Genomic DNA, 26554 nt, shown 5'->3' with positions numbered 1-26554 from the left:
AACATTTAGGTTACTTTCAATTTTTAGCATTGATGAATAAAATGATTAACATGTATGTATGAGTCTTTGTGTGGATATATATTTCATTTCATTTTGATAAACACCTAACAGTAGAACTGGTAGGCCATAAGGTAGATGTACATTTAACATTACAAGAAACTACCAACACTATCTCAAAGTGGTGCTTTGATTTGCATTTCCCCAATTACTAATAAGCATTTTTCAAGTATTTACTTGCCATCTGTGTATATCCTATTGGGAAGTAAGCCTTTGTCCATTTAAAAATGTTTTCTTATCTTTTTATTGAGTTACGTGAGTTTTTTTGTTAATATATTCCAGATATAAGATCTTTGTCTCAATAGTTTCTCCCAGGGTGTAGGTTGCTTTTTCACTTAATGGTATCTTTTGAAGAGCAGTTTTTAGTTTTGAAGAAGTCCAATGTATCCATATTTTTCTTTCATGGTTATTGCTTTTTGTGTTCTAAAAAACTTCTGCCTACATCAAGATTTCTCTTATGTTTTTCACTTTCACATTCAGGCTTATAATTCTTTTTAATTGTAAGCATGAATAATTATATGGGCAGAGGTAAGGTCAAAGTTAATTTTAAATATGGACTGAGGTAGGCTTATAGTTAATTTTCTTCCATATGGATATCTAGTTGATTCAACATCATTTGTTGAAAAGATATTCCCTTTCCACGTTGAAATATCTTAGTACTTTTGTTGAAAATCAATTGACAATGTAGGTGTGGATCTACTTCTGGACATTCTAGTGTTCCACCAATTTGTCTATTCTTTCACAAATACCACGCTATCTTATTTACTATGGTGTTAGAAATCTTAAAATCAGGTGATGCAAATCCTCCAAGTCTGTCCTTTCTCAAAATTGGCTTTGCTCTTCTAGGGCCTCTGTATTTCCTTCTAATTTTGAAATCAGCCTGTCACTTTCTATAAAAAAAATTCTGCTGAGATGTTCAATCTCTACATCAATTTGGAGAGAACTGACACTTTAACAATATAACATCGTATATCTCTTCATTTATTTAGGTCTTCCTTAATTTTTCTGAGCAATGTTTTCAGTTTTTAGTATAGAGGTCTTGTGTGTTTTTGGTTAAATTTGCTCATTTTTTGATGCTTTCACAAATGAAACCAAAATCTAAATTTTAAGTGTCTGTTGCTAATACATAAAAATACGATTGATTTTTAAAGTATTAACATTGTACCCATGCCTTATTAAATTCACTATTATTTCTAGTAGTTTTTTGGTGGGTTACCTAGGATTTTCTAATCTAAGCTGAAAATCATGTTTTCATCTGTGAATATAGGCAGTTTTACTTATTTCCCATCTTTATACTTCTTATTTCTGCTTTTGCCACTGGCTAGGGTATTTGGTAAAATATTGAATAGAAGTGGTAAGAGTAGACATCTTTGCCTTTTTCCCAAACTCAATGGGAAACTTTCAAAATATTACCATTTAGAATAATGCTGAGGTTTTTTGTTGTTGATGATGATTCCCTTTATCAAACTAAGAAAGTTGCCTTATATTCCTAGTGTGGTAAGAGTTTTCATAAAGAATGACTACTGTATCTTCTTAAGCATTAAACAGATGTTAACCTATAAAAGGGCGGTGTGACTATGCATAGCCATTATTGTGAATAATAGTATAAATAACCATTACTATGGTAAGAGAGGCAATGAATGACAGTAGAAGAAAGAACAACAGATTAGGTGTAAAACTCAAGACAAAGCAAAACAAGACAAAATCTGTATTTTCTCACACAGCTCTGCACTCTTAATTGATTAGCACTCTTAACTGTACTCTTAACTGATTAGCTCAGGGCAAATAATCATTAAGGGCTTCAGTCATCTTATATGTAAAAGAAAGGTATCATATGGCCTTCCCACATACAGGGCAGTATGTGAGAACATTATAAACCCTGCCAAGGGTACATAAACTGTATGTTCCTATTCTTATGCTTCTTGATCTCCCGTTTTAGTTTCATCTCCACTTCAATATAGGGCTCCCACTATAACATCCCTCTCTGAGTGCACCTCTAACATGGGCATTCTTAATTGGAGGTATGGAATATTTAGGTGTATGAATTTAGAGGATGCAAGATGTCCATCTTCAGATTAAAAATGAAGTCGATGGTTTTTAAAAAGATTAATAAATACTACTCTAAAAATGTCTTCCATGCTAATCTTCTAATATGTTTCTGTTAATTTGTGTAAGCAAACTGTTAAGGAAGATGGTAACCAGGATTAGTGACAGTCTATGTCAGTCAGGTTCAGAGTCCTGGTTTTCATATATATCGGCTTTCCATATCCAACAGCTTTCGTATCAGCAGATTCAACCAATGGTAGATTGAAAATATTTGAGAAAAAGAATAATATGACAATTAAAAAAAATAAAAAAATTAAAAATATAGTATAACAACTATTTACCATAGCATTTGCATTGCATTAGGTATTTATAAGTAATCTAGAGATGATTTAAAGTGTAAGGGAGAAGTGTGTAGGTTATATGCAAATACTATCCTATTATATACTGTAATTGTAAGGACTTGAGTGTCCATGGATTGTGGTGTCCACAGGTGCCCTACAGAACCAATCTCCCACAGATACTGAGAGATGACTGTACTTCCTAGGTTAGTCAGACTTGCCAGAAGGCTAAATCCTACATAGGAATATTACTGTATGAAATCTGAAGTGCTGTTTTTCATATGCACATTTGATTACATGAAAGAACCAAGTTTCTTAATAAAAGGCCCAAGATGGCTGCAGTTAAAATAGCACACCCAAAGCAGGCAGAGAGGAAATGCCAAGGACTATTCAAATGCCCAGCCTATGTCCTAACTTATATGGGAAAATAAGCTTTAGAAAATTCTTGATAACTAATCATTAGGGAAATGCAAATCAAAACCACAATGAGATATCCCCTCACACCCATTAGGGTGGATACTATTAAAAAAACAAGCAAAAAACCAAAACAAGAAACAGAAAATAAATGTTGGGAAAGATGTGGAGAAACTGGAATCTTTCTACATGTTTAATAGGAATGTAAAATGATGCAACTGATATAGAAAACAGTATGGTAGTTCCTCAAAAAATTAAATAGAGGATTACCATATGATCCAACAATACCACTCCTGGTACATATCCAAAAGAAACGGGATCTCAAAGAAATATGTGTACACCTGTGTTCACAGCAGCACTATTCACAACAGCCAAAAGATGGAAGCCACACAAAGGTCCCTCAAGGGACAAATGGATAATACCATGTGGTAGTGTACATAATACTCTATAATGGAGTATTATTCAGTCTAAAAAAGGAAGAAATTCTGACACATGCTACAGGACGAATGAACCTTGAGGATATTAGGCTGAGTGAAATAACCCAGTCACAGAAAGTAAAATACTGTATGATTTCACTCATAGGAGGTATCAACAGTAGTCAAACTCACAGAAACAAAGTAGAAGGGTAGTTGCCAGGGGCTGGGGAAAAGGGGGACTTGTCTAATGGACATAGAGTTTCAGTTTTGCAGGATGAAAAATTTCTGGAGATTGGATGCACAATGTGAATATATTTAACATTATTGAACACTTAAAAATAGTTAAGATGGTATATTTTAAGATATATTTTATCACATGCCTGATATACTTCTAACAAGTCTAAATACAGTTAAGACCACTAAGAACTCATGACTTAAAATTCTGATCTTTGAAGCAACTCACTACTAAACTGAAATTTCAGAATTATTAATAATGTTCCAACAACTCTTCAAGACCCCTAACAAGTGACACTGATTGATGATTTTGTGCTCATGGAATTATATGGTTCAGAGAACATAATTAAGACTCTTACCCAATGCTAGAATAAATACCACCTTGACATCAGGACAAATGAGAGGATTCAAGATTGTGCTACAGGATTTTAAAATGTGTGAACACTGTTCTGTAAAAGCACTAAATTAGTCCCTCCCCCCACTAACATTCCCTACAATAGCATAATAAAAGGGCCTAACCTCTAATTCTTTTTCATCGAAGTACTGTAGCCACTGAAGAGGAACAACTTCATTAAAACCATCAAGGAAAGCTTTGGTCTGTTCTTGTACTCCTCGAGAAAAACGCCATTCTGTCATTAAACTGAAAATAAAGATGGTATTTAAAAATAGGTAATTTATATGTGAAGTAAAATACTTAAAAACACCAAGAACTTCTATAGTTCTTTCTCTTTTTCTAAATATGCCATATATATAAACATATAAATGTGATGTGTGTGTATATGTATGAATACATATAATTTTAGAGTTAACACATTTGAGGAAATCAGTTCTAACACATTGTTAACTATTAAAAAGGATGCTTTTAAAATAAATAGGAAAGGAAAACACAGAAAAAAGAAAGAAAATAAATAGGAGGTTCTTCACTATTTAGTAAGATAGCCAAATCCTAGCACTAATTATTTCCTGTTTATATCTAGACAAATAAATCCAAATATCATGTGCCCACCGGGAAGGAACAGCTAGTCATTTAACAGGCTCTTCTTACACCAAGCATTGCCGTGACAGACCTGAGGACTCTGACTCAAAGCCTTCCACACCAGCAAGGCAAGGGATTGTCTCAGTATGTAATGACCATATGTTCACAGGCCATGTGCTGGTGTAGGTTTATGGTCTGAGAGGGCTTAAGGCTGGAGAACAGGTTCTTTACCTGCTGTTTTATTGGAAAACACGAAGATTTCCTAACTAGAATAGAAGAACTCAATTAAGATGAAAACAAAACATTCTGAAGAGACATATATAAAGCAGCTGTAAGAGCAGGGAAGTATGACAGAAAGGAAATAAGGAAGAAAATCTGTCAGTGACACAAAATCTGTAAAAGGAGATTCCAAAAGGAGATGGATCTGAAAAGAACTACCTAAAGAAGCAGCATACACCACCTCATACAGAGAAGCCACAGATTCTAGACGATGAAGAGAAAGCCAAGCTGTTCACACTCCTCCCATTTCTAACTCTTCTTTTTGCTTTCTAGAGGAAGCTGGCCTTATGCTTTTCTAAGGCTGCCTCCAAAACTTTTCTTCAATTACTAAACCCTCTTTGTCCCGTATCCTCAACTCCAACTCCAACTTTTCTTCCCATTTGTCCACAAAGGTGTTCAGACTATTCTTTTCCAAAAACCCTTCCTTTAACCCAGTGTCTCTTTTAAATTACTCTGTCCTCCCTTTACCACCACACTCATTATAAGAGTACACCTTACTCAGTGTTTTCATTTTCTCACCTTCTATTCAACCAAATTGTAAACCAAGGTAATTTTAAACCTAGCTATCACTGTAGGCGCCACTATAGCCACTAATTCTCACCATCAACTTATCCCCTTAATACGTCAATTCTGCTCTTGCTGTTTTCCCTGTACCAAAATCTCCCTCTATCGGGCAAGCTTTCATGTATCTTTTTTTTTTTTTTTTTTTTTTTTTTTTTTTTTTTTTTTAATAACATAGGGTCTCACTCGGTTGCCTGGTTCACTGCAGCCTTGACCTCCCTGGGCTTAGGTGATCTTCCCACCTCAGTCTCCATAGTGGCTGGGACTACAAGTGCACACCACCATGCCCAGCTAATTTTTTAAAAAAATTTTATTTATTTATTTATTTATTTTTGTAGAGATGAGGTTTTGCCATGTTTCTCAGGCTGGTCTTGAACTCCTGGGCTCAAGTGATCCACCCACCTCGGCCTCCCAAAGTCCTGGGATTACAGGCAGGAGCCACCAGCCTCTCATGCATCTTTTAAGACATAGTCTAATACATAATGTCCTATGAAGAACTTTCCTGACTCCTCCCAGCAGAAACAATAGCTCTCTTCCCACTTTGGATTCCAGTAGTACTTCATATATATTTCCACCATTCATTTACTTATAGATTCACTGATGGCCTATTTTGTGCACTAAAAATAAGGTATCACAACTAAACAAGAGTGTTATCATATAATTTTCAAGAGCAAGATTAAAAAACAAGACTAAAGTCTGTTATTATTTGAGACTGAAACAAAATCCTCCAAAAATTGCTGCATTCATGATTAGCTATCAATAGTATTACAGTGATAAAATGTTTGAAACAGTGCTTAACTTTACAGAAAGTGAATATACATCTTACATAGTGAAATTTTATTTAGACTGTTTTTGATATTTGAAACCACTGATAGCATTTTTTTTAACCACTTAGATTGTGGTACTTATTTTTGTTGGACTTTGTGGAAGGCTCAGGCTTAACAAATATAGAAAGTCCAGTGCCTTATGCATGATCTTTTGATGAATATATTTTCCTCAAAATATAGTGTTACTGTTTTTTTCCAACTAGCGTAATAAATGCACACTGTAGAACAAAGCAAAACAAAAATACCTAACAGAGTACAAAAGTATAAAGGAAGAAAATCAGTTATTGGTAACTTCTCTCACTCAGAGATGACTGGTTTAGCAGAAAAATAAGAAGAGGCCAAGAATGCCAAGCTAAGAAGGGTACATTAAAGTTGGTAAGCAGAGACACTAAGGGGGTAAATTTGAAAGGCCATAGCAATTTACAAGAAGGGAAAAAAGAAGGGCTGTGACATTTTACAAAAGCCACATAGCAGTATCTATTAAATACTTTTTGACCCAGTAACTTCACTTTTTAAAAATCTAGCCCACAAAACAAGTAGCAGGATGTATGGATTCATGCTTAAGGAAGTTTTCTGCTGTCTTGTTTGCAGTGGCCCAAACTGGACACAACCTAAATGATCTCTATTGACAGGAATAGCTGAAGAATATAGAAAAAAATACACCACAATGTACCTAGCTATTAAAAAATGAGTTAGATTTAACTGTACTGTCCTTAAGACAAAAAAAAGTAAGCTACGGAGTAATGTGTATAATCCAATCCCATTTTCAAAACAAATATAAAAAACAAAAAATCTGAAAGAGACAGAGATGACAGCTAGCATCTAAGAGGGTGAAAATGGTAGTACTATTCATAGAAGACATCAGTAGGAGGCAATATCTAGGAAAAATGAAAAGTTTGATTTTAGGCCCATTACATTTTAAGATGCGTCATCTGTAGTTCACGTGCTGGCAAATTACGGCCCATGGGCCTAATCATCTGGTTTTTTTGTCCAGCATTTGAGCTAAGAATAGTTTTTACATTTTAAAAAAATGATTGAAAAATATTAAAAGTATTTTGGGACATGAAAATTATACAAAATCAAATTTCAGTGTCTACAAGTGTTTTACTGGAACACAGCCACACATCTATTTATACACTGTCTATAGCTACCTTTGCACTATACCACAGAGGTGAGTAGTTGCAATAAGAAATGTGCCTGTAAGCCTAAAAAGTTTACTGCCTGGTTCTTTCCTGAAAATGTTTGGACTTACCTGGCTGGCAAATGGAAATTATTTCTAAAGTTCAGATATAACTTTAACAGAAAATTGAAGCTATGTTAGCAGAATATTTAGAGAAGCAGGTTGAAATAAAATCTTGGAAAAATGCCTACATTTAGGAAATAGGAGATTTAAAGAACTGCCATTAAAAAAGAGCAAGTGACCAGGATGGTGACACCCTGTTATCCCAGCATTTTGGGAGGCTGAGGAAAGGAGGATGACTTGAGGCCAAGAGTTTGAGACCAGCCTGGGCAATACAGTGAGACCCTATCTTTACAAAAAAAAAAAAATTGTTTTAAATTAGCTGGGAATGGTAGTATAAGCCTGTAGTCCCAGCTACTCAGGAGACTAAGGCAGAATTGCTTGAGCACAGGAGGTCAACCCTGCAGTAAGCTATGATCACGCCACTACGACGGCCTGAGCGACAGAGTGAAACTCTCTCTAAAAACAAAAATTTAAAACAAGAGAATGTAAAGAAAATCAGTATGACATAGGATCATGGAATTCAAGAAAACACTGAGTTTCAAGAAACAGGCTGTGGTGAGCACTATTTAAAAGCCTAAGTTAAAAAAGGGAAAATGACATGGAAAGGGAAATGGTAGAATGGTTACAGCAAATGGCAGTGGGAAAATGAAGCAACATATATTCTCTTTTTTCAAGAACATTGGTACTGGTGAGAAGAACTTCCCAAAGGCATGAAAAGGGGATGAAATTAAGGGTACAGAGAGAGGATTTAGTTCTGAAGTGTTCTAGAAATTAAGCTTAATAAGGTATATCACCTTACCCAATATATTCATCTTTGTTCTCCTCAGTCACCAGAATATTGGAACCTCCCAACTTCAGGTCATGTGAAGTAACTTTTCCCAAAATCTCCATGTCAACAGAAAAGTACATTTCTAAGCCACATTCTTCAATGTTGTTATCTCTGGGTGAAATAAATATATATACACTAATTAACAAAATGAAACAAAATGGGTTTCAAAAAAATGACTTATTGCAAAACAAAATCTTCAAACCTTATCCAGATAAGGGAGTTATAAAATTCAGTATCAATAGATTCCAAATCCTTAATAGTAAGTTTTTTACTTAACATACGCTTGTAGAATGGTAAAGAGAAACCAGTATCGATAAACTTTCCATGAAATAGTGCCTGCAAAGAAAAATGAAAAATTTTATTTAAAATTTGCAAAATAACAATTTCTTAGAGAACAATGATAAAAGAAAAATCATGAGACTTCACAAGTAAACAAAGCATTCAGTAAGTGAATGGCATAAATCATGAAAACTAAAATATTATATAAAATGCTAGGTATGAAAAACAAAGTTAAAACAATCTATTTTATAACACATAGCTATATAACATATATCAAAAACTGTATAGGATGATAAAAGACTTCTATTACCATACCCTGCCTCAATCTTCCTAAATGTTTTATAAATTGAATTAACCTAACTGGATAAGGAAATATAAAAGGGCCCTGTGCACCTGAAAAGGCAGCTCTCTCGTTCGTTTCTTACTCTCACTGCTGCCTGTGAGGCTTTTAGGACTAACCCCATCGTGCCTTCGCTCCTATTCACAACAGCCAACACAGAAGCCCCAGACTCCCACCAATTTTGGGGAACTAAAAAAATCCACTGAAGCTATTAATACTACCTTAGCCCCCTCATGAAGTTATGTCTTCCCTTACTCAGTTTAGATTCCATAGTCAATCATTAAAATAACTACCTTCAAGGTGGGGCGCAGTGGCTCACACTTGTAATCCCAGCACTTTGGGAGGCTGAGGCGGGTGGATCATGAGGTTAGAAGATCAAGACCATCCTGGCTAACACAGTGAAACCCCGTCCTTACTAAAAATACAAAAAATTAGCTGGGCATGGTGGCACGCGCCTGTAGTCCCAGCTATTCAGGAAGATGAGGCAGGAGAATTGCTTGAACCTGGGAGGTGGAGGCTGCAGTGAGCCAAGATCGTGCCACTGCACTCCAGCCTGGGTGACAGAGCGAGACTTTGTCTCAAAAAATAAAATAAAATAACTCCCTTCAAACTCCACCTCTGCCAGTGTATTTCTAGCAAAATCCCAAGCCTAACTAAATTCAACTCTCAGGTTACTCAATGCCTGTACCTAGGCAATGGAACATGCTAGAAATGCATAAACAACCAAGCTGACTGCTCTATGACCGACAGTTGTATTTCATCACTGGTCTGTTTCCTGGTAATCACATTTCCCTACTGCATTCACTCTCCCACTTTCCTAGATGACTATTTCATTCCTACTCTTCTTTCCTCAAATACTTCTCCCCACTCCTTATTCTGAGTTGATGATCTTACTTCCTATTTCACAGAGGAAACAGAAGCAACCAGAAGAAAACTTTTGTGTTCTACTATATCTGCTCACTACTAGCATCTGAATCCATATAATCTTATTATAGATAATCTTTCCATCACTTGGTGTGTGTGCTAAATAAATCTCCTCCTCTCTCCAACTCAAGCCCATTGCTCTCATATTCCTTATATTCTGACTTTATCAAATTCTTTATCCTCTAACTTGGTACTATAGTTTAGATGTTTGTCTCCACCAAATCTCATGTTGAAATGTGATCCCCCAGCTGGCTTCTTCATACAGAAGAATGAAACTAGAGTGCTACCTTTCATCATACACAAAAATTAACTCAAGATGGATTAAATACTTAAATGTAAGACCTAAAACTATTAAAATCCTAAAAGAAAACCTAGGAAATGCCCTCTTGATATTAGCCTTGACAAAAAAATTTCTGGCTAAGTCCAACAAAAACAAAAATTGATAAATAGGACCTAATTAAACTAAAGAGCTTCTGCACAGCAAGAGAGGGAGTAAACTAACCTACAGAATGGGAGAAAATATTCACAAACTATGGATCCAACAAAGGTCTAATATCTAGAATTCATAAGGAAAGTAAGCAAATCAACAAGAAAAAAAAACCCATTAAAAACTGGGCAAGCATAAACAGACACTTCTCAAAAGAAGATACATAAGCAGCTGCTGGGCGCAGTGGCTCACGCCTGTAATCCCAGCACTTGGGGAGGCCGAGGTTGGCGGATCACCTGAGGTTAGGAGTTCGAGACCAGCCCGGCCAACATGGTGAAACCCCATCTCTATTAAAAATACAAAAATTAGCTGAGTGTGGTGGTGCGTGCCTGTGGTCCCAGCTACTCAGGAGGTTGAGGCAAGAGAATTGCTTGAACCCAGGAGGCAGAGGTTGCAGTGAGCTGAGATCATGCCACTGCACTCCAGCCTGGGTGACAGAGCAAGACTCTTGTCTCAAAAAAAAAAAAAAAAAAAAAAGAAAAGAAAAGAAAAGAAAAGAAAAGACATATAAGCAGCCAACAAAATATATGAAAAAATGCTCAACATCACTAATCATCAGAGAAATACAAATCAAAACCACAATGAAACACCATCTCATACCAGTCAGAATGGCTTTTGTTAAAACATTAAAAAATAACAGATGTTGGCAAGGCTTCAGAAAAAAAAGAGACATATACTTTGTTCAGAATGTAAATTAGTTCAGCCACTTTGAAAAGCAGGTTGGAAATTTCTCAATGAACTAAGAGTTGAACCACCATGAGAATCAGCAATCCCATTACTGGGTATAGATATCCAGAGGAAAATAAATTGTGCTACCAAAGGACACAAGCACTGTATGTTCCCCACAGCGCTACTCACAATAGGAAAGACCTAGAATAAATCCAGGTGCCCATCAATGGTGGACTGTAAGCACCATGAAATACTATTCAGCCAAAAAAAGAATGAAATCATATCCTTTGCAACAACACAGATGCAGATGGAGGCCATTTTCCCAAGCCAACTACCAAATACTGCATGTTCTTACGTACAGGTGGGAGCTCAGCATTGGGCACACATGGACATAAATAGATGGGAAAAATAGACACCTGGGGACTACGATGGGAGGGAGAGAGGGAGGAAGGCAAGGGTTGAAAAACTACCTATTGGGTACTACGTTCACTACCTGAGCATGATGGGTTCAATCATACCCCAAATCTCAGCATCACACAATATACTTTTTTAACAAACCTGCACATGTACCCCTGATTCTAAAATTAAACCAGAAAAACAAAGAATTTTGACCTGCAACTAATAGACTAATGCCCTGGTGAGTTCTCACTCTATTAGTTCCCTACAGAGCTGGTTTTAAAAAGAGTATGGCACTTCCTCCCCACCCTTGCTTCCTCTCTCATCATGTGACTTTCATACACGCTGCTTCCCCTTGTGCCATGAGTGGAAGCAGCCTGAGGCCCTCACCAGAAGACGATGCTGGCACCATGCTTCTTGTACAGCCTGCACAGTCAAACAAACCCCTTTTCTTTATAAATTATCCAGCCTCTGGTATTCCCTTACAGCAACACAAAACAGACTAAGATACTTAGTCATCACTATCAGCAATACAAATGTTTTATTCTCCTCCCATTCTTGACTCCATAAGCATTTCCAGTTAGTGACCAATTCTCTATGATTCCTTGTTTATATTTGCTGTATCCACTCTCCCTCCATTCTCTCTTGATTTTACTCCCATCAGTCTTTCCACCCTACCACTCATGAATAACTTTCACCTTTGCAGATACAATGGTCAAATCCCAGGCTTCATCTTGCTCAGTCTATCAGTAACATATGACGGTTGACCATGTCTTCCTTCTTGAAACACACTTTCTTCTTCCCTTGTCCTCTGGGGACCACTCCTATTTGATTCTACTACCTCAGATCTTTTGTTGGTTACTTATCTCCCTGACTATAATTGTCCTTGAACAACTTCTTCATCCATACTCACTCTATAAACAATCATATTGCCTTTTAATACTCTCTATGTGCCAAGAATTCCCAAATGCCTATCTCCAAACTAAATATCCTTTCATTGCCAGACTTATACCTCCAACTATCTCTTTTACATCTCCATGTGGATGTCTACTTCAAACTTAACAAGCCAAACCTAAATATTCTGGATTTCTCCCATACCCAAAATTTGCAACCAGACAAGCTGGCCATAAATATTGTTGCCATACTTGACTCTCTCTCACACCCCTGCATCTAATCTGTCAGAAAACTGTTAGTTCTAACTTCGCAATATACCCAGAATCCAAATCACTTCTCACTTCCTCCACTGCTAGAAGACACAAGTCCAAGCCACTATTATCTTTCACCTGGATTGTTACAAATGATTTTCCTGCTTCTATCCATGTTTTCCTATGCCCCCAATTATAGTCTGTCTTCTACATACTCGTAAAGCAAGCTTAATAAAATTTAAGTCAGATCATGTTAGTTAGATCAGGTCACTCATTGCCCTACTCAACTCTTATGTGAATTTCCTAAAGGTCCCACACAGCATCTCTCAATCTCATCTCCTATTACATTCTCTCTCATATCCTCTGCTGCAATTATACTGGTCTCTTTCTCAATCAAGAATGCACTCCCACATTAGAGCCTTTGTCTTGCTGTTCCCTATGCCTAGAATAGTCTCCAAGATATCTGCATGATTCAGTCCCTAGCTTTCTTCAATTTCTGTTCATGTGTCATCCATCAGTGAGGTTTCCTCTAACCATACCATATAAAAAAAGCAACACACTCTTTCCTTCAGAATATATCTATTGATTACTCATTTCTATCTAATGGAATTTAGGTCCCTGAGAGCAGGGACTGTGTATTCTTTTCATCTCTGGAGCCTAAAACAGTGCTTGGCATTACAGTAGGCTGTCAATAAATTTTTGCTGAATGAATTAATAGATAATAAAGTGTAAATAAATACGTAAATAAATAAATACAAACACTTCCCAAAAGACAATAGTTCCATAAGGGCTTCTGCAAAGCGCTTAAAATTCCAAAAACAATCAAATACAATTATTAGATAGCTCAGATTTTCCTTTTATTGAAAAGTAGGCTGGGAGTGGTGGCTCACATTTGTAATCTGAGCACTTTGGGAGGCCGAGACAGGCGGATCACTTCAGCTCAGGAGTTTGAGACCAGCCTGGGCAACATGATGAAACCCCATCTCAACTAAAAATACAAAAAAATTAGCTGGCATGGTGGTGTGAGCCTGTAGTCTCAGCTACTTGGGAGGCTGAGGTGGGAGGATCGTTTGAGTCTGCAAGGTGGAGGTTGCAGTTAGCTGAGATCACACCACTGCACTCCAGCCTGGGCAACAGACTGTGATCCTTTCTCAAAAGAATTAAAATTTTTTCTATTAAAAATAAATAAACAAATAAAAGTAGTCATACTATAAATGGGTTTTAAATTTAAAAATGAAAGGACTTTTAAAGACTAAGTGGCTGTATAAACATAATCTTCATATTCATAATCTTGATTTTATACAGGTACTCAAAAAATATATTTTTACACTCTCCAGGGAAACTTTCTTGGTAACAAAACTTGTGAATAGCAAATATAATGCTTATCCTTTTTTTTTTTTTTAAAAGCCTTCTCTAATACATTTGTAACAAACTTAAATAAATAATAATAAAGTCAGGAACTCACCATGGCAATAAAACGACCAATGAAACAGAAGTATGAAAGATGGTCTGGATTAATGGTTGATGCTGGATTTATCTGCAGACAATAGTTGTTCTTGCCCGCATACTCAAATAAGCAATACATTGGGTTCAAAACTTCATGTGAAAGCAAGAAAAACCATTCTCTATAAGAAAATAAGTCAAGGTTATTTTTTAGCATTAATATGTGAATTTAAAAACAGATCTTAAATATATTCATATATACATCATACCTCTGCTCAACAGTCTTTAAGAACTCCACTGCCCAATTCTTTGGCCCTCTATCCAAGTTCTTCTATGATCTGGCTCTCCATTTAAGTTACCTGCTAGTTTCGATGTGGCCAAACTACAAATTCACTGATCCTCATATAGATATAACATGCTTATTTGTATGCCACACTTTTGCTTGGGTATGTCTCCTCAACTTCAATTCAGCTTAAATCCCATTTCAACAATTTTTTGAGGCAATTTCCAGTGTATTTGTATTAATATCAGTCACTGAATACTCTGTTGTAACAACCTCACAATATTAATTCATTTTTATGCACATGACTTGCCCCATCCATCAGACTGTAAGTTTCTCAAAGGCAAAAGCCATGTATTTTTTTGTATTCTTAACTCTTACAAGCACTCTAGGATGTATATACAACAGGTTTTAATATACATTTGCAGGTGATACCGAGATACACAGCACTGCTGCTATTTAACACTTTTAACTTTATTGTCATTGCATTAAAAATGAAACTAAAATTTAAAAGGTTAAATCTTTAAATGTGATAAGCAATCTCTAACCTTTTACCACCCATTTTAAAGTCCAATATGCGAAATCCAACTAGATAAAGGTATTACAAGATAAACCCAATCTCTAAAAGGTTCTTTTCAATAGCAATTTCTTCTAAAGAAGGGTTCCAAACTCAAATGCTTACAGTAATCTGTAAGTACAAGGGGATTCCTTCTCTATTCTCTAGATGGGGCTCACATTCTCTGCTTAGCCACAATCCTCCATTCCTTATATACCTGCTGAATTATTGGTTTTAAGGAAGAAGAATTTCTAGGCATATTATCGTAGTCCTCAGACAACTGGGCAGTGGTGGACACCATAGTGAAACAGAGTATATGCTAATCTACAGGGGAAACAACTCTGATTCAGCCCACTGACGCCACATGAGAAGGCAGGATTGCAGGTCGAGTGTTTTAAAGAGAAGTCAGAAATCTTCATTCTTAAGCATAATCTAATGATTTTCAAATGTCATCAAGTAATTTAAAAACTGTAAAATCACAATGAGGGCCACCTCTATGTAGGCTACATCTGGCCTGGCAGCCTGTTAATAAACGTTTTTCTAAAGGTTATAAAACACAATCACTGATACTGCCTGAAGGGTAGAGAAGGAAGTCCTCAACAAAATCAACTAGAAATAGTAAACACCAATTATTAAAACTAAGTCCAGTTGTAACATAGTAGTAGTTGAACCAAGTGACTTCCCTCTATGATGAGGCTGAAGTAAGACATACCCCAGGTAAGAGGATGGAGCAGGTCTTGTGAGAGTGTGTTTAGACACATATATAAAACTAGGAATAAACCCTCCAGATGCTTCAGATAATTTTTAGCAAACAACAGCCCAGAGAAAACTCAATCAATTCAAAAGAAGAATGGCTAAAACATGGCATCTACTCTTTTCCTCTGATGCTAGCAGAAAAGGAAGAAAAATTCCTAACTAGCAAGAGGCAGAAGAATTAACTTTCAACATATTCTTCTCAATACTCTCAAATAAACTGAAGAGACACAAGAGGTTGAAAAAATTATGAGACAACAGATGAGCTAGCAGAGCCTAAAGAAGAAAATGAAGAAAACAGTAAAACCACTAATGAAGAAAAATCACATTAGAAGCAGCAAAACGTAGGGCAGTACTGCAAACAGTGACATGAGGATAGGCTTGAGAAAAATCAAAATAAAATGGAAAAGTGCAAAGATAAAAATGATCAGAGAAAAGATGACAGACATGTAAGACTGACAAAGGAGATTCCACATACCCATGACTGATGTTCCTGAAGAAAAATGGAACAAATGGAACAGAAAAAATATTCAAAGACATAATAGAAGAAAACTTCCCTGACATTAAGGAAGATCTTAATATATTCCTAAAAAAAGATACAAAACAATCAACAGTGAAATTATTGAACTTCAGGAAAAAGGACTGTGTGGGCACCCAGAGGAAAAATAAGGTTCTTACAAGGGGCTGGCCTCACACTTCACAGTACTAACATTCAATGCTAGAAAACAGTAAAGCAATGTCTGAGTATTGGAAAAACAAGTGTGCGAGAAATTTATATCTAGTGAAATTGTTGTTTATATGTAAAAGCAACAGAGAACATTATGCAAAGACTGTAGGAATATATCAATCCTGTAAACTCTTTAATAAACCATTTGATGAATCTAGCCCACCAATACATGAATTAAATAAAAAATTTAGGAATAAAAAATCATGTTATGGAGGAACTAGCTATATTCATTAAAACTATCAAAATATAAAACTTAGACCCAAATAGTTGAGGCAAATAAGGGCTCAGATAAGAATGTAAATGTTAATAAAGACACACTGTAAAAATACCATATTTCCTCATTTCTAAGATGTACCTTTCTTATGTCTGAACATTTCTGAAATTGAGATAAACTCGTAATAGATGCAATATGAACATTTATTATGATAGGCAGTGTTTCGTTTCTGGAAAAGTTTAATGATGTTGTAAATGAGGAAATATGCTAATATAAACAAAACTCTGATAATTCCACATATATTATTACTTATCTATCCCCATCAGTTGTACTTGGTTCTGTATCTCTTTTTGCCAGTTGTGTTAAAACTGTGATTTTGTAATTCTGTACACCTCTGAAATGAGTTCAAAAAAGGAGTTGTTTCTATGAAAAGCAAGTTTGAATTCTTTAGAAAGATTTAATCAAAATGTTTTGCTAAACAATAAATTGTTGCCAAATTAGGCTGGGGCAGAACAAATAAGGGACAAAATTGAAAAATAAAAGGATTTTCCACCCATATTGCTTCACAAGTATCTACTGTTAACAATATATTTAGTGAATGTAGAAAACTTTATTCCCAAAAGAGACTCAGATTGGACTAAAAACATAAACATAAAACCAAAATATGATGTTACTTACAATAGCAAAAAATAAGAATGTATGCATGCTAATCTATTAATTATGATATTTCCATACAACAGAATATTGTACAGCCATTTTAAAAAAGAAAATATTCAGACTGAGTGCTGTGCCTCACACCTGTAATCTCAGTACTTTGGGAGACCAAGGTTGGGGGAATCTCTTGAGCTCAGGAGTTCAAGATCAGCCTGGGCAAAACTGTGAGACCCTCATTTCTACAAAAAGCTTTAAAAACTTTTTTTTTTTTTTTGACACAGCGTCTTGCTCCATCACCCAGGCTGGAGTGCAGTGGCATGATCTCAGCTCACTGCAAGCTCCGCCTCCTGGGTTCACACCATTCTCCTGCCTTACCCTCCCGAGTAGCTGGAACTACAGGCGCCCACCACCACGCCTGGCTAATTTTTTTTATTTTTAGTAGAGACGGGGTTTCACCGTGTTAGCCAGGATGGTCTCGATCTCCTGATATCATGATCCACCCGCCTTGGCCTCCCAAAGTGCTGGGATTACAGGCGTAAGCCACCACGTCCAGCCTTTAAAACTTTTTAAAAAACAAGAAGAAAAAGAAATAAACAAATTCATTCACTCACTGTATATATGCTAACATAGAAAGATGCCCACACTATATAAAAAAACAAAATCAGATCCTACATTTTGTACATTGTATGATTAACTGTTAAAAAAAGCAGCAAATATATACTATATTACACATATATACAAATTTACATATATGTAAAGATGTATAGAAAGATAACCAAGAGTAGTAATAATAATAATGGTTACCGTGTGTATTTTTGAGAAAAATTCTGGATTGTTAATTCAAAAATTTAATACAATATATTCACATATGTTTTGAAGAATACTTTCCCTGTATACAATGAGATATACTTATTTCAAGGCAGATATGTGTTTTTTATTTTACCTCGCTAGGCCACCATAATCAAGTCCTTCTTCTCCTCTAAATATTACATATAAGCGCCTCCTCAAGTCATAGGGTTTTAATGCCATAATCTAATTAAAAACAAAAACATGAATATTAAATACTCACATGCAGTACAAGTTCCTTTCAAAACAATTTAAATTTAATCTCTATTTTCAAAATAACACATTTCCTTATCTTATACAATGCTTTTAACTCAAGAGATGAATTGGTTTCTTTCACAAACTAGATGAAGACATACATATCAATCTGTTAAGCTTTTCCTGACTCACTTTCACATATAGTTGACCCGTAAACAAGATGAGTTTAAGTCAACATGGTGAATGCACAGGTCCACTTATACTTGAATTTTCTTCAGCCTCTGCCACCCCTGAGACAACAAGGCCAAGCCCTCTTCCTCCTCCTCAGCCTATTCAATGTGAAGACAATGAGAATGAGGACCTTTATGATGATCCACTTTTACTTAATGAACAGTATATGTATTTTATCTTCCTTATGATTTTCTAAAAAAATTTTCTTTTCTCTAGCTTACTTTATTATAAGAATACAGTATACAGGCCGGGTGTGGTGCCTCAGGCCTGTAATCCCAGCACTTTGGAAGGCCAAGGCAGGTGGATCACGAGGTCAGGAGATTGAGACCATCCTGGCTAACATGGTGAAACCCCGTCTCTACTAAAAAATACAAAAAGTTAGCCAGGCGTGGTGGTGGGCGCCTGTAGTCCCAGCTATTCGGGAGGCTAAGGCAGGAGAATGGTGTGAACCCGGGAGGTGGAGCTTGCAGTGAGCCGAGATCGTGCCACTGCACTCCAGCCTGGGCGACAGAGCGAGACTCTGTCTCAAAAAAAAGAATACAGTATATAATACATATATTATACAAAATATGTGTTAACTGACTCTATGTGTTAACTGACTCTTTACGTTATTGGTAAGGCTTCCAGTCAATGGTAGGTATTAGTAATTCAGTTTTGGGGTAGTCAAAAGTTATACATGGCTTTTCAACTGTGCAAGGGGTCAGCACCCCTAGCCCCTGTGTTGTTTAAGGGTCAACTATACTCTTTCCTCCTTCTAGTATTAAATGGATAGTTCTATTTTGGGTTAATGACAAGACAGGAAGAGTTTGACACAAAAGGCTTTTAAGGTTAAAAATATTATCTCCCCTACTGGTTTCCCCAAACTGTACCAAAATCTTCCAACAGGTAAATTTTTCTGACTAGCAGTACTTAGAGGCAAAAGACTTTGTTCTGCATCCTGTTTATACCACACATTCCATTTCTCAGTAGGAAAGGAACTCAGCTATAATGAGCAATTATTTATACAATGATGAATTTATTCACAGGCTAGTATAACTTAAAAACAATACGTATACCAAATTTTCATAATCTTTAATAGCTTACATCAAGGTTACTAGTAAGTAGGCTTTACTTTGGATAGAAATAAATTACATTCCACACATATGTCAGGACCAGAGCCAAGACTGGCAAGTCTGGGTTGGAGCACAGCTCACCAGCATGCCTCCTTGGAGGCAGTCGTGGGCTCAGTGCTATACATCAAATAGACCATGATTCTTCCCAAGACAGGGTAAAAAGCAAAATAAAGTCTACCATGAATTCAGATGTACATTTACTAAAATCAATCCAGAGTTTAGAAAAAGTTGACCTATTTACACTTAGTTTGCTAAGAATTTATTAACTCAAAAAAAAAAAATCAACTTGATAATAGTTTAAGTATCATGCCCAAAGTCCAATCGTAAAATTAAGCTATGGTTTGAAATTCTCTTGGGGCTCAGAGTATCATTACTCCATTTTGGCTTGTACAAAGTATAAATAAAAGTCCCTGTATGCCTGAGTACACAGCATAATTTGGTTCATCATTATAATACTAGGGGGGGAATAAGACGTCTCATTATGAAAAATTCTCCACTTCATTGGGCAAAAACTGACAATACAGTATTTGGATTATTTATCCTTAAATATTCTGCAGATGACTCATGAAAGGAAGAAATACTGCATTCATTTATTTGTTCATCAAATATTTATTGAATACCCTCTATGTGCAAAGGCACTATTCTACGTACTAGGCAGAACAGCAGTAAACCAATAGTCCCTGCTCTCATGGAGCTCACATTCTAGTAAGGAAGACAAAATACACTATGTTGGGTGGTTATGAAAAAGAATAAAGCACCATAAATGGCTGGAATGTGACTGTGAGGGAGAAGAGAAGGACTGCCATCTTAAAATAGTAGGCTCAGAGAAGGTCTCTCTGAGATCACATTTAAACAGAAACATAAAGGTGAAAATAAAGTTATTAAAGGAATTCTCAAATGGAATACAGTATCTACCAATTTAATTTTAATTTGATAGCATTATCAAAACTTTGAGGTAATAAATTCTTAGCCAAGTATTGTGTCAAAACAAGAATCAACTTGTTCCAAAAGCTGTTTAAGCTTTATTTTAGTAAATACACATCTAAATTCATGATATGTCTCTCAGTCTCAGTACCTTTACCTATAACATGGAGATACAATAAGTGCTATCTCAAAGGGATGCTGTGAGGACGAATGAAATAAAATGAGAAATGTAAGATGCCGGTGTTTTGCAAATGATAATCACTCAGTATATGGGAAGGTTTAGTGTAACTATGATTAAAATGGGCACTCAGGCCAGATGCAGTGGCTCAAGCCTGTAATCCCAGCATTTTACGAGGCCGAGGTGGGTAGATCGTTCGAGCCCAGAGGTTGAGACCAACCTGGGCAACATGGCGAAATTCCATCTCTATTTAAGAAAACAGAACAAAACAAAACAAAACAAAGGCACTCAACAAGTGGTGGTGGCAGTCATTATTATTATAGCTGTGTTCTGGGTGGTTTAAAAATCTCTAAAACCCTGACTTTCTTTAGATGCACAGAATACAATGAGACAAATGGTGTTTTATTCTGCTAAAATCCTCCTTACCTGTTGGAAGGAATCTTCAAACAATGTCTGCCGGGACACATTGATCTTTACATGACTAGGTAGTGCATTAGACTAAAAACAAAAATAATATCATAATATCATCTGAGTTATAGTATATGTATTGTATAAAGAGAAGACTAAATTATTGAGTATAAGATTTATTTACCACTATAGTACCTGGCACAAATAACGGAAGTGAGCAAGCTTCCACCTAAAGCCGCGTTCATAAGCAATTTGTGGACCACCTTTAGTTCTAAAGAAAAACAAAAATAAACCAAATTAACTCATAATAAAGTTGAATATTTAGTATTCAGTATAAAATCAGAGTGTACTAAAGTCCAACAAAATACCACAGGAAGATTTCTGCTGGGAGAGAAGGGTATACATACATGGTGGGCCAAAAGAAGCTCAAGTAATGGGGACTATTACAGCAACAGGACACACATATACACAAAGAAGGACATTGTATTTATGGCTGGATCTTTTGTTAGTGAGTTAAATGAAATATCAAAGTCTACTACAGACTATTTCAAAGAAAATCTTCGATAATCCTTAAATCTAAGGAGGACAGAGGCTCCAGACAGAAGAGACGTGGAAGGAAATTCTACCACATCCTAAGCCTAACCTAAAACCCAAACAAATATTCCTGGAGATAATAAGCAAAGCAAAATCAAATTCCTAGAAACAACATTGTCATCCAGATCACACGGTTCACGTGGTCAGTGAGAGAAAAGGCAGAGTTGGTGGCACGGCACCTAGGAATACAGGTTTTACAATATGGTTTGACTCACAGTGACAGAGCCTGGATCTCTTGCCTATTGATTGAGGGCCTGACAGGCACAAAGAACTTTCATAATGTTAAGGAACACTTTGGAACAGATGAAAAATGTTCTCTTGTGTTGTCAGGTTCAAGTGAATTCACTTACTCAAAAAGCATTTACTGAATGCATAGCTGGTACCTGGCTTTCTTCTAGACAGTGACAGCATTACTTATTAATAGGTAAAAATGCCTGTTTTGTGGAGCTTATATACTAGTGAAGGAGATAAGACAAAAAAATATAATAAATAAGTAAAGTACAAATGTCTTATCACTCCTGACCTAGAACAATAAAACAATAAAAAAGGCATTGTTAAAAGGACAAAGTATAAGGAGTGATATGAGAAGCATTTTGTGATTTTCAAAAGGGTAAAAGGAGTAGAGCTCACAGACAAAGTGACATTTGAGCAAAAACATGAAGGAGAGGGCAAAAGCCATATGGAGTTTCGGGAAAAGAGCATACCAGGCAGACGGAATAAAGGCTAAGACCCAAGGTGGAAGCTGAAGGTGTTGAAGGCACAGCTAGCGTCCAATGAAGCTAGAACACGGTGAATGAGGAGGAGCGAAAACCAAGAGGAGGTTGAAGAGATAAGAGGGGTCAGATCCTGTAAGGCCATTTAGGCTGTTGTAAAGTGTGCTTTTTACTCTTATTGAGATGGAAACCACTGAAGGGTTTTGTGCAAATAAATGACTTTTAATTAAATTTTGTTTTGGAAATTCAGTCTCTGTGCTGTATGGAGAGTAACAACATTGTACAAGGTGTGGGAAGAAAGCAGAGAGAGGACTCTGCTACCAAGCCAGGCAACAGATAATGGTAGCTTGGACCAAAATGGTGGCAATGGGGGTGGTGAGGCATAGCTGGATTCTAGATATGTTTTGAAGTTGAGGTAACTAGAATTCTTGATGGACTGTTTGTAAGGTAGGAGAGATAGAGGAGTTGTGGATGATTCTACATTTTTTTTTTTTCCTAAGATGGAGTTTCGCTCTTGTTGCCTAGGCTGGAGTGCAATGGTGCAATCTCGGCTCACTGCAACCTCTGCCTCCTGGGTTCAAGCGATTCTCCTGCCTCAGCCTCCTGAGTAGCTGGGATTACAGGCACACGCCATCACGCCCAGCTAATTTTACCATGTTGGCCAGGCTGGTCTCGAACTCCTGACCTCAGGTGATCTGCCCGCCTCGGCCTCCCAAACTGCTGGGATTATAGGCGTGAGCCACCATAACAAGGTGATTTCAAAATTTTTGACCCAAGCACCTGCTAGAGTGGAGTTATCAACTGTGACAGGGAATATCACAGGTAGAGCTGGGTTTTTGTTGTTGTTGTTATAATTTTTTTTTTTTTAGAGACTAGCTCTTGCTATGTTGCCCAGGCTGGTCTCAAACTCCTGGGCTCAAGTGATCTACCCGCCTCAACCTCCCAGAGTGCTGGGATTATAGGTGTGTGCCACCATGCCTGGCCAGAGAGCAGGTTTTACAGGACCTACCAAGAAGGAGTTACAAGTGGAGATGTCAATAAGCAGCTGAATATAGAAAGCAAAATTTCAAGTGAGAAGTCTGAGCTAAATTTGTGAGTCATTAGCAGGCACATGTTTTAAAAGCATAATACTGAGTAAGATGCATCAAGAGAATGAATGTAGTTAACAAAAAAAAAAAAAAAAAAAGAGGCTTAGGAAAAAAAGGAGGACTCGACAAAATAAAGATAGAAGAACAGAAACGCAGAGGGAAATCAAGAAAGTATGGCTCACAGCACTACTTTTGCCAGGAGAGAGAAATGTATTGTGTCAAATGTTCCTGGTAAGTCAAATCAGGCAGGACTGCAAACCAACGCCTGGATTAACAATGTGAAGATCATTGGTGCCCTTGCAAATTCAGTGTCAGGGGAACTTCCTTGGAGTTGGTTTAAAGGAGAAACTATGAACAGCAATACAGAGACAACCATGCAAGTAGCTTTCCTGTAAAGGGGAGCAATAAAAATGAACTGTGGGCTGGGTGTGATGGCTCACGCCTGTAATCCCAGCACTTTGGGAGGCCAAAGCAGGTGGATCGCCTGAGGTCAGGAGTCCGAGACCAGCCTGGCCAACATGGCGAAACCCCATCTCTACTGAAAATACAAAAATTAGCTGGGTGTGGTGGCGGGTGCCTGTAATCCCAGCTACTCAGGGGGCTGAGGCAGGAGAATCGCTTGAACCCAGGAGGTGGAGGTTGCAGTGAGCTGACATCGCATCATTGCACTCCAGCCTGGGCAACAGGAGCGAAAGTCCGTCTCAAAAAAAAAACAAAAAAATGAACTGCGATTGAACACATTGGTAAAGGGAAGAGTTGTAATTTCTTTTTTTTTTTGCTTTTTTTTTATATCTAGGAGAAATAACAGCTGATAAGAATAATTTTGTAGAGAAATAAAACCTGATAATGCAACACAAAGGTGATAACTGTTGGAGCAATTAAGTAGAAAAGTGGGGGTAGGAATCGAATGTACCAGCAGAGGGACGAGACTTTGATAATAACAATGACAGTTCATCTATAGGAACAGGAGGGAGGAGAGATGGTAGGAGACGGACAGATATGGTGGTACAACTTTGCAAAAGACCTTTTAGGATTGCTTCTATTTTCTTAGTTATGCAAAGACATGACACCTTAGAGTAAGAATGAAGGAGAGATCTGTCAACCGCTTAATTAAGGTATCTTTAAATCTGGAAAAATCATTTCACTGACCATCTCATTGCAGCAGTGTGATGTGGCAGTTAAGAGCACAGAGTCTAGACAGAGACTGACTGTCATCGTTAGAAACCAGCTCCATTACTTGCCTTATAACTTTGCACAGTTAGTTATGCTCCCTATACCTCTCCTCACTTGGTAAAGGGAAAAATAATAGTATCTACCTCAAGGGGTTATTGGAAGATAAAATGAGTTAATACCTATGAAGTACTTAGAACAATCCTCGGCACACAGTAATCACTACATAAATAGTTTACATGCTGCAAATCCATTGTCAAATGAGAGCAAAGACAGCTATACTAAGGTTTCACTTGTGTAGGTTTTCTTGAACCAAAAAGTAAAATGTTTTGCTAAACTTGAGGATAAATTAGAGACTAAATCTCATGTGCTCACTAAGCAATATTTAAAGGAGAACTTCAGGTTTTCACTCACACAGATGACTTCCCATTGCGAGGATCTTTGAATGTTGTTGTTCTTGTGTTATGATCAACAAAGTACCTTACACCTTCACGAGTATATCTAATTTCCCAGCCTTCTGGCAGGGGTTCTTCATTCTGTAAGCTAAAAGATAAAGTTAAAATCACAAGATGAACCTTTTCTAGGTACTAAAAATATCTCATTCAAGGTTGGTTGGTTCTACCTACTGATATATGCAAGACGACTTAAGGCTGCTGTATATACATACCCTTGAGTTCTTGGATCTTCCCACTGGGTTGTTTTTGTGTTATGATTCACAAAGTAAACCCTGTCTGTTGAATCCACTCTTTTTTCTGAAATATAAAGTGAGTATAATATTTAATAACTATTTAGGATCTATATATAAAATAAGGAACACATATAATTATATATAATATATATTATATATATAAAAACATATCAGGGATATATGTATCCCTTATATATTATAGAATATATTATATAGAATATAATATATATTATAGAGAATATAACATATATTATATTATAGAGAATATAATATATATTATATTATAGATAATTATGTAGAATATAATATATATTCTATAATATATAATTCTTTAATATATAATCTATTCTATATATTCTGTATATTATATATATAATACATATATATATCCCTTATAATATACATATATATATCCCTTATAATATATACATATATAATATACATATATATCCCTTATAATATATAATATATTTAATATGGATTATATATTCTATATAGTATACAGAATATATAACATTCTACAGAATATATAATATATAGAATATATAATCCATATTAAATATATTATATATTATAAGGGATATATATATGTTAAGGGACATATATAAGGGAGATATATATATATAAAATAAGGAACATATATATATATATATATATATATATATATATATGGAGAGATATATATCTCCCTTATAGATCATTAGCAAAAACAGCTTACCCCAGCCTGGTGGCAAAGGTCCATAAGGGTCATTTTCTGCAGCTAACATTGAAGCCTGATTGGAGAAAAGATTAGGGAGAGAAATAAAATAACAGTGTTTTAATATGAAAGTAGAAATAAGCCAAGCATGTGGCAGAATCACATTTTATAATAATTTTCTAAAAATATGATAAGGGGTTGGGCGCAGTGGCTCATGCCTGTAATCTCAGCACCTTGGGAGGGCAAGGTGGGAGGATTACTTAAGCCCAGGAGTTCAAGACCAGCCTGGAAGATCCTGTCTCTATAAAAAAAAATTTTTTTTTAATTAGCCAGATGTGTTGGCACATGCCTAAAGTCCCAGCTACTTGGAAGGCTGAAGTGGGAGGATCACTTGAGCCCAGGAGGTGGAGGCTACAGTGAACTGTGATCACACTACTACTGCACTCCAGCCTGCACAACAGAGCGAGAAGCTGTCTCAAAAATATATCTATATTATTATATAGACAGATAGATAGGTCCACATTATAAGGAAATATAGCAATTTCAAGACACAAAGTTCTTTGTTTTTTGAGACAGGATCTTCCTGCTCTATTACCCAGACTGGGGTGCAGTGGCGTGATCTC

General features: G+C 36.3%; 1 protein-coding gene across 10 annotated transcripts in view; it reads right to left on the bottom strand.

Moving 5' to 3' along the window:
* Window positions 1-26554, bottom strand: part of WWP1 (WW domain containing E3 ubiquitin protein ligase 1) — a 125957-nt gene that overhangs the window by 11800 nt on the left and 87603 nt on the right. For 5 of the 10 annotated variants that reach the window (NM_007013.4, XM_005250761.5, XM_005250760.5 and 2 more), the window contains 10 exons: window positions 25953-26007; window positions 25214-25298; window positions 24961-25089; window positions 21177-21252; window positions 21000-21071; window positions 18031-18119; window positions 13926-14085; window positions 8423-8556; window positions 8191-8331; window positions 4025-4145 (listed from right to left, as the gene is read on the bottom strand). In NM_007013.4, coding sequence (NP_008944.1) covers window positions 4025-4145; window positions 8191-8331; window positions 8423-8556; window positions 13926-14085; window positions 18031-18119; window positions 21000-21071; window positions 21177-21252; window positions 24961-25089; window positions 25214-25298; window positions 25953-26007 — 1062 coding nt within the window. Of the gene's footprint in view, window positions 1-4024; window positions 4146-8190; window positions 8332-8422; window positions 8557-13925; window positions 14086-18030; window positions 18120-20999; window positions 21072-21165; window positions 21253-24960; window positions 25090-25213; window positions 25299-25952; window positions 26008-26554 lie in introns of those variants that run through there. The other 5 variants (XM_024447056.2, XM_047421282.1, XM_017012994.3 and 2 more) reach the window with 2 other exon arrangements.

Source organism: Homo sapiens, chromosome 8 (genome assembly GCF_000001405.40).
Source record: "Homo sapiens chromosome 8, GRCh38.p14 Primary Assembly".
Lineage (NCBI taxonomy): Eukaryota > Metazoa > Chordata > Mammalia > Primates > Hominidae > Homo > Homo sapiens.
The sequence above is the reverse complement of the archived record's forward strand: the minus strand, read 5'-3'. Positions and strand labels throughout refer to the sequence as shown.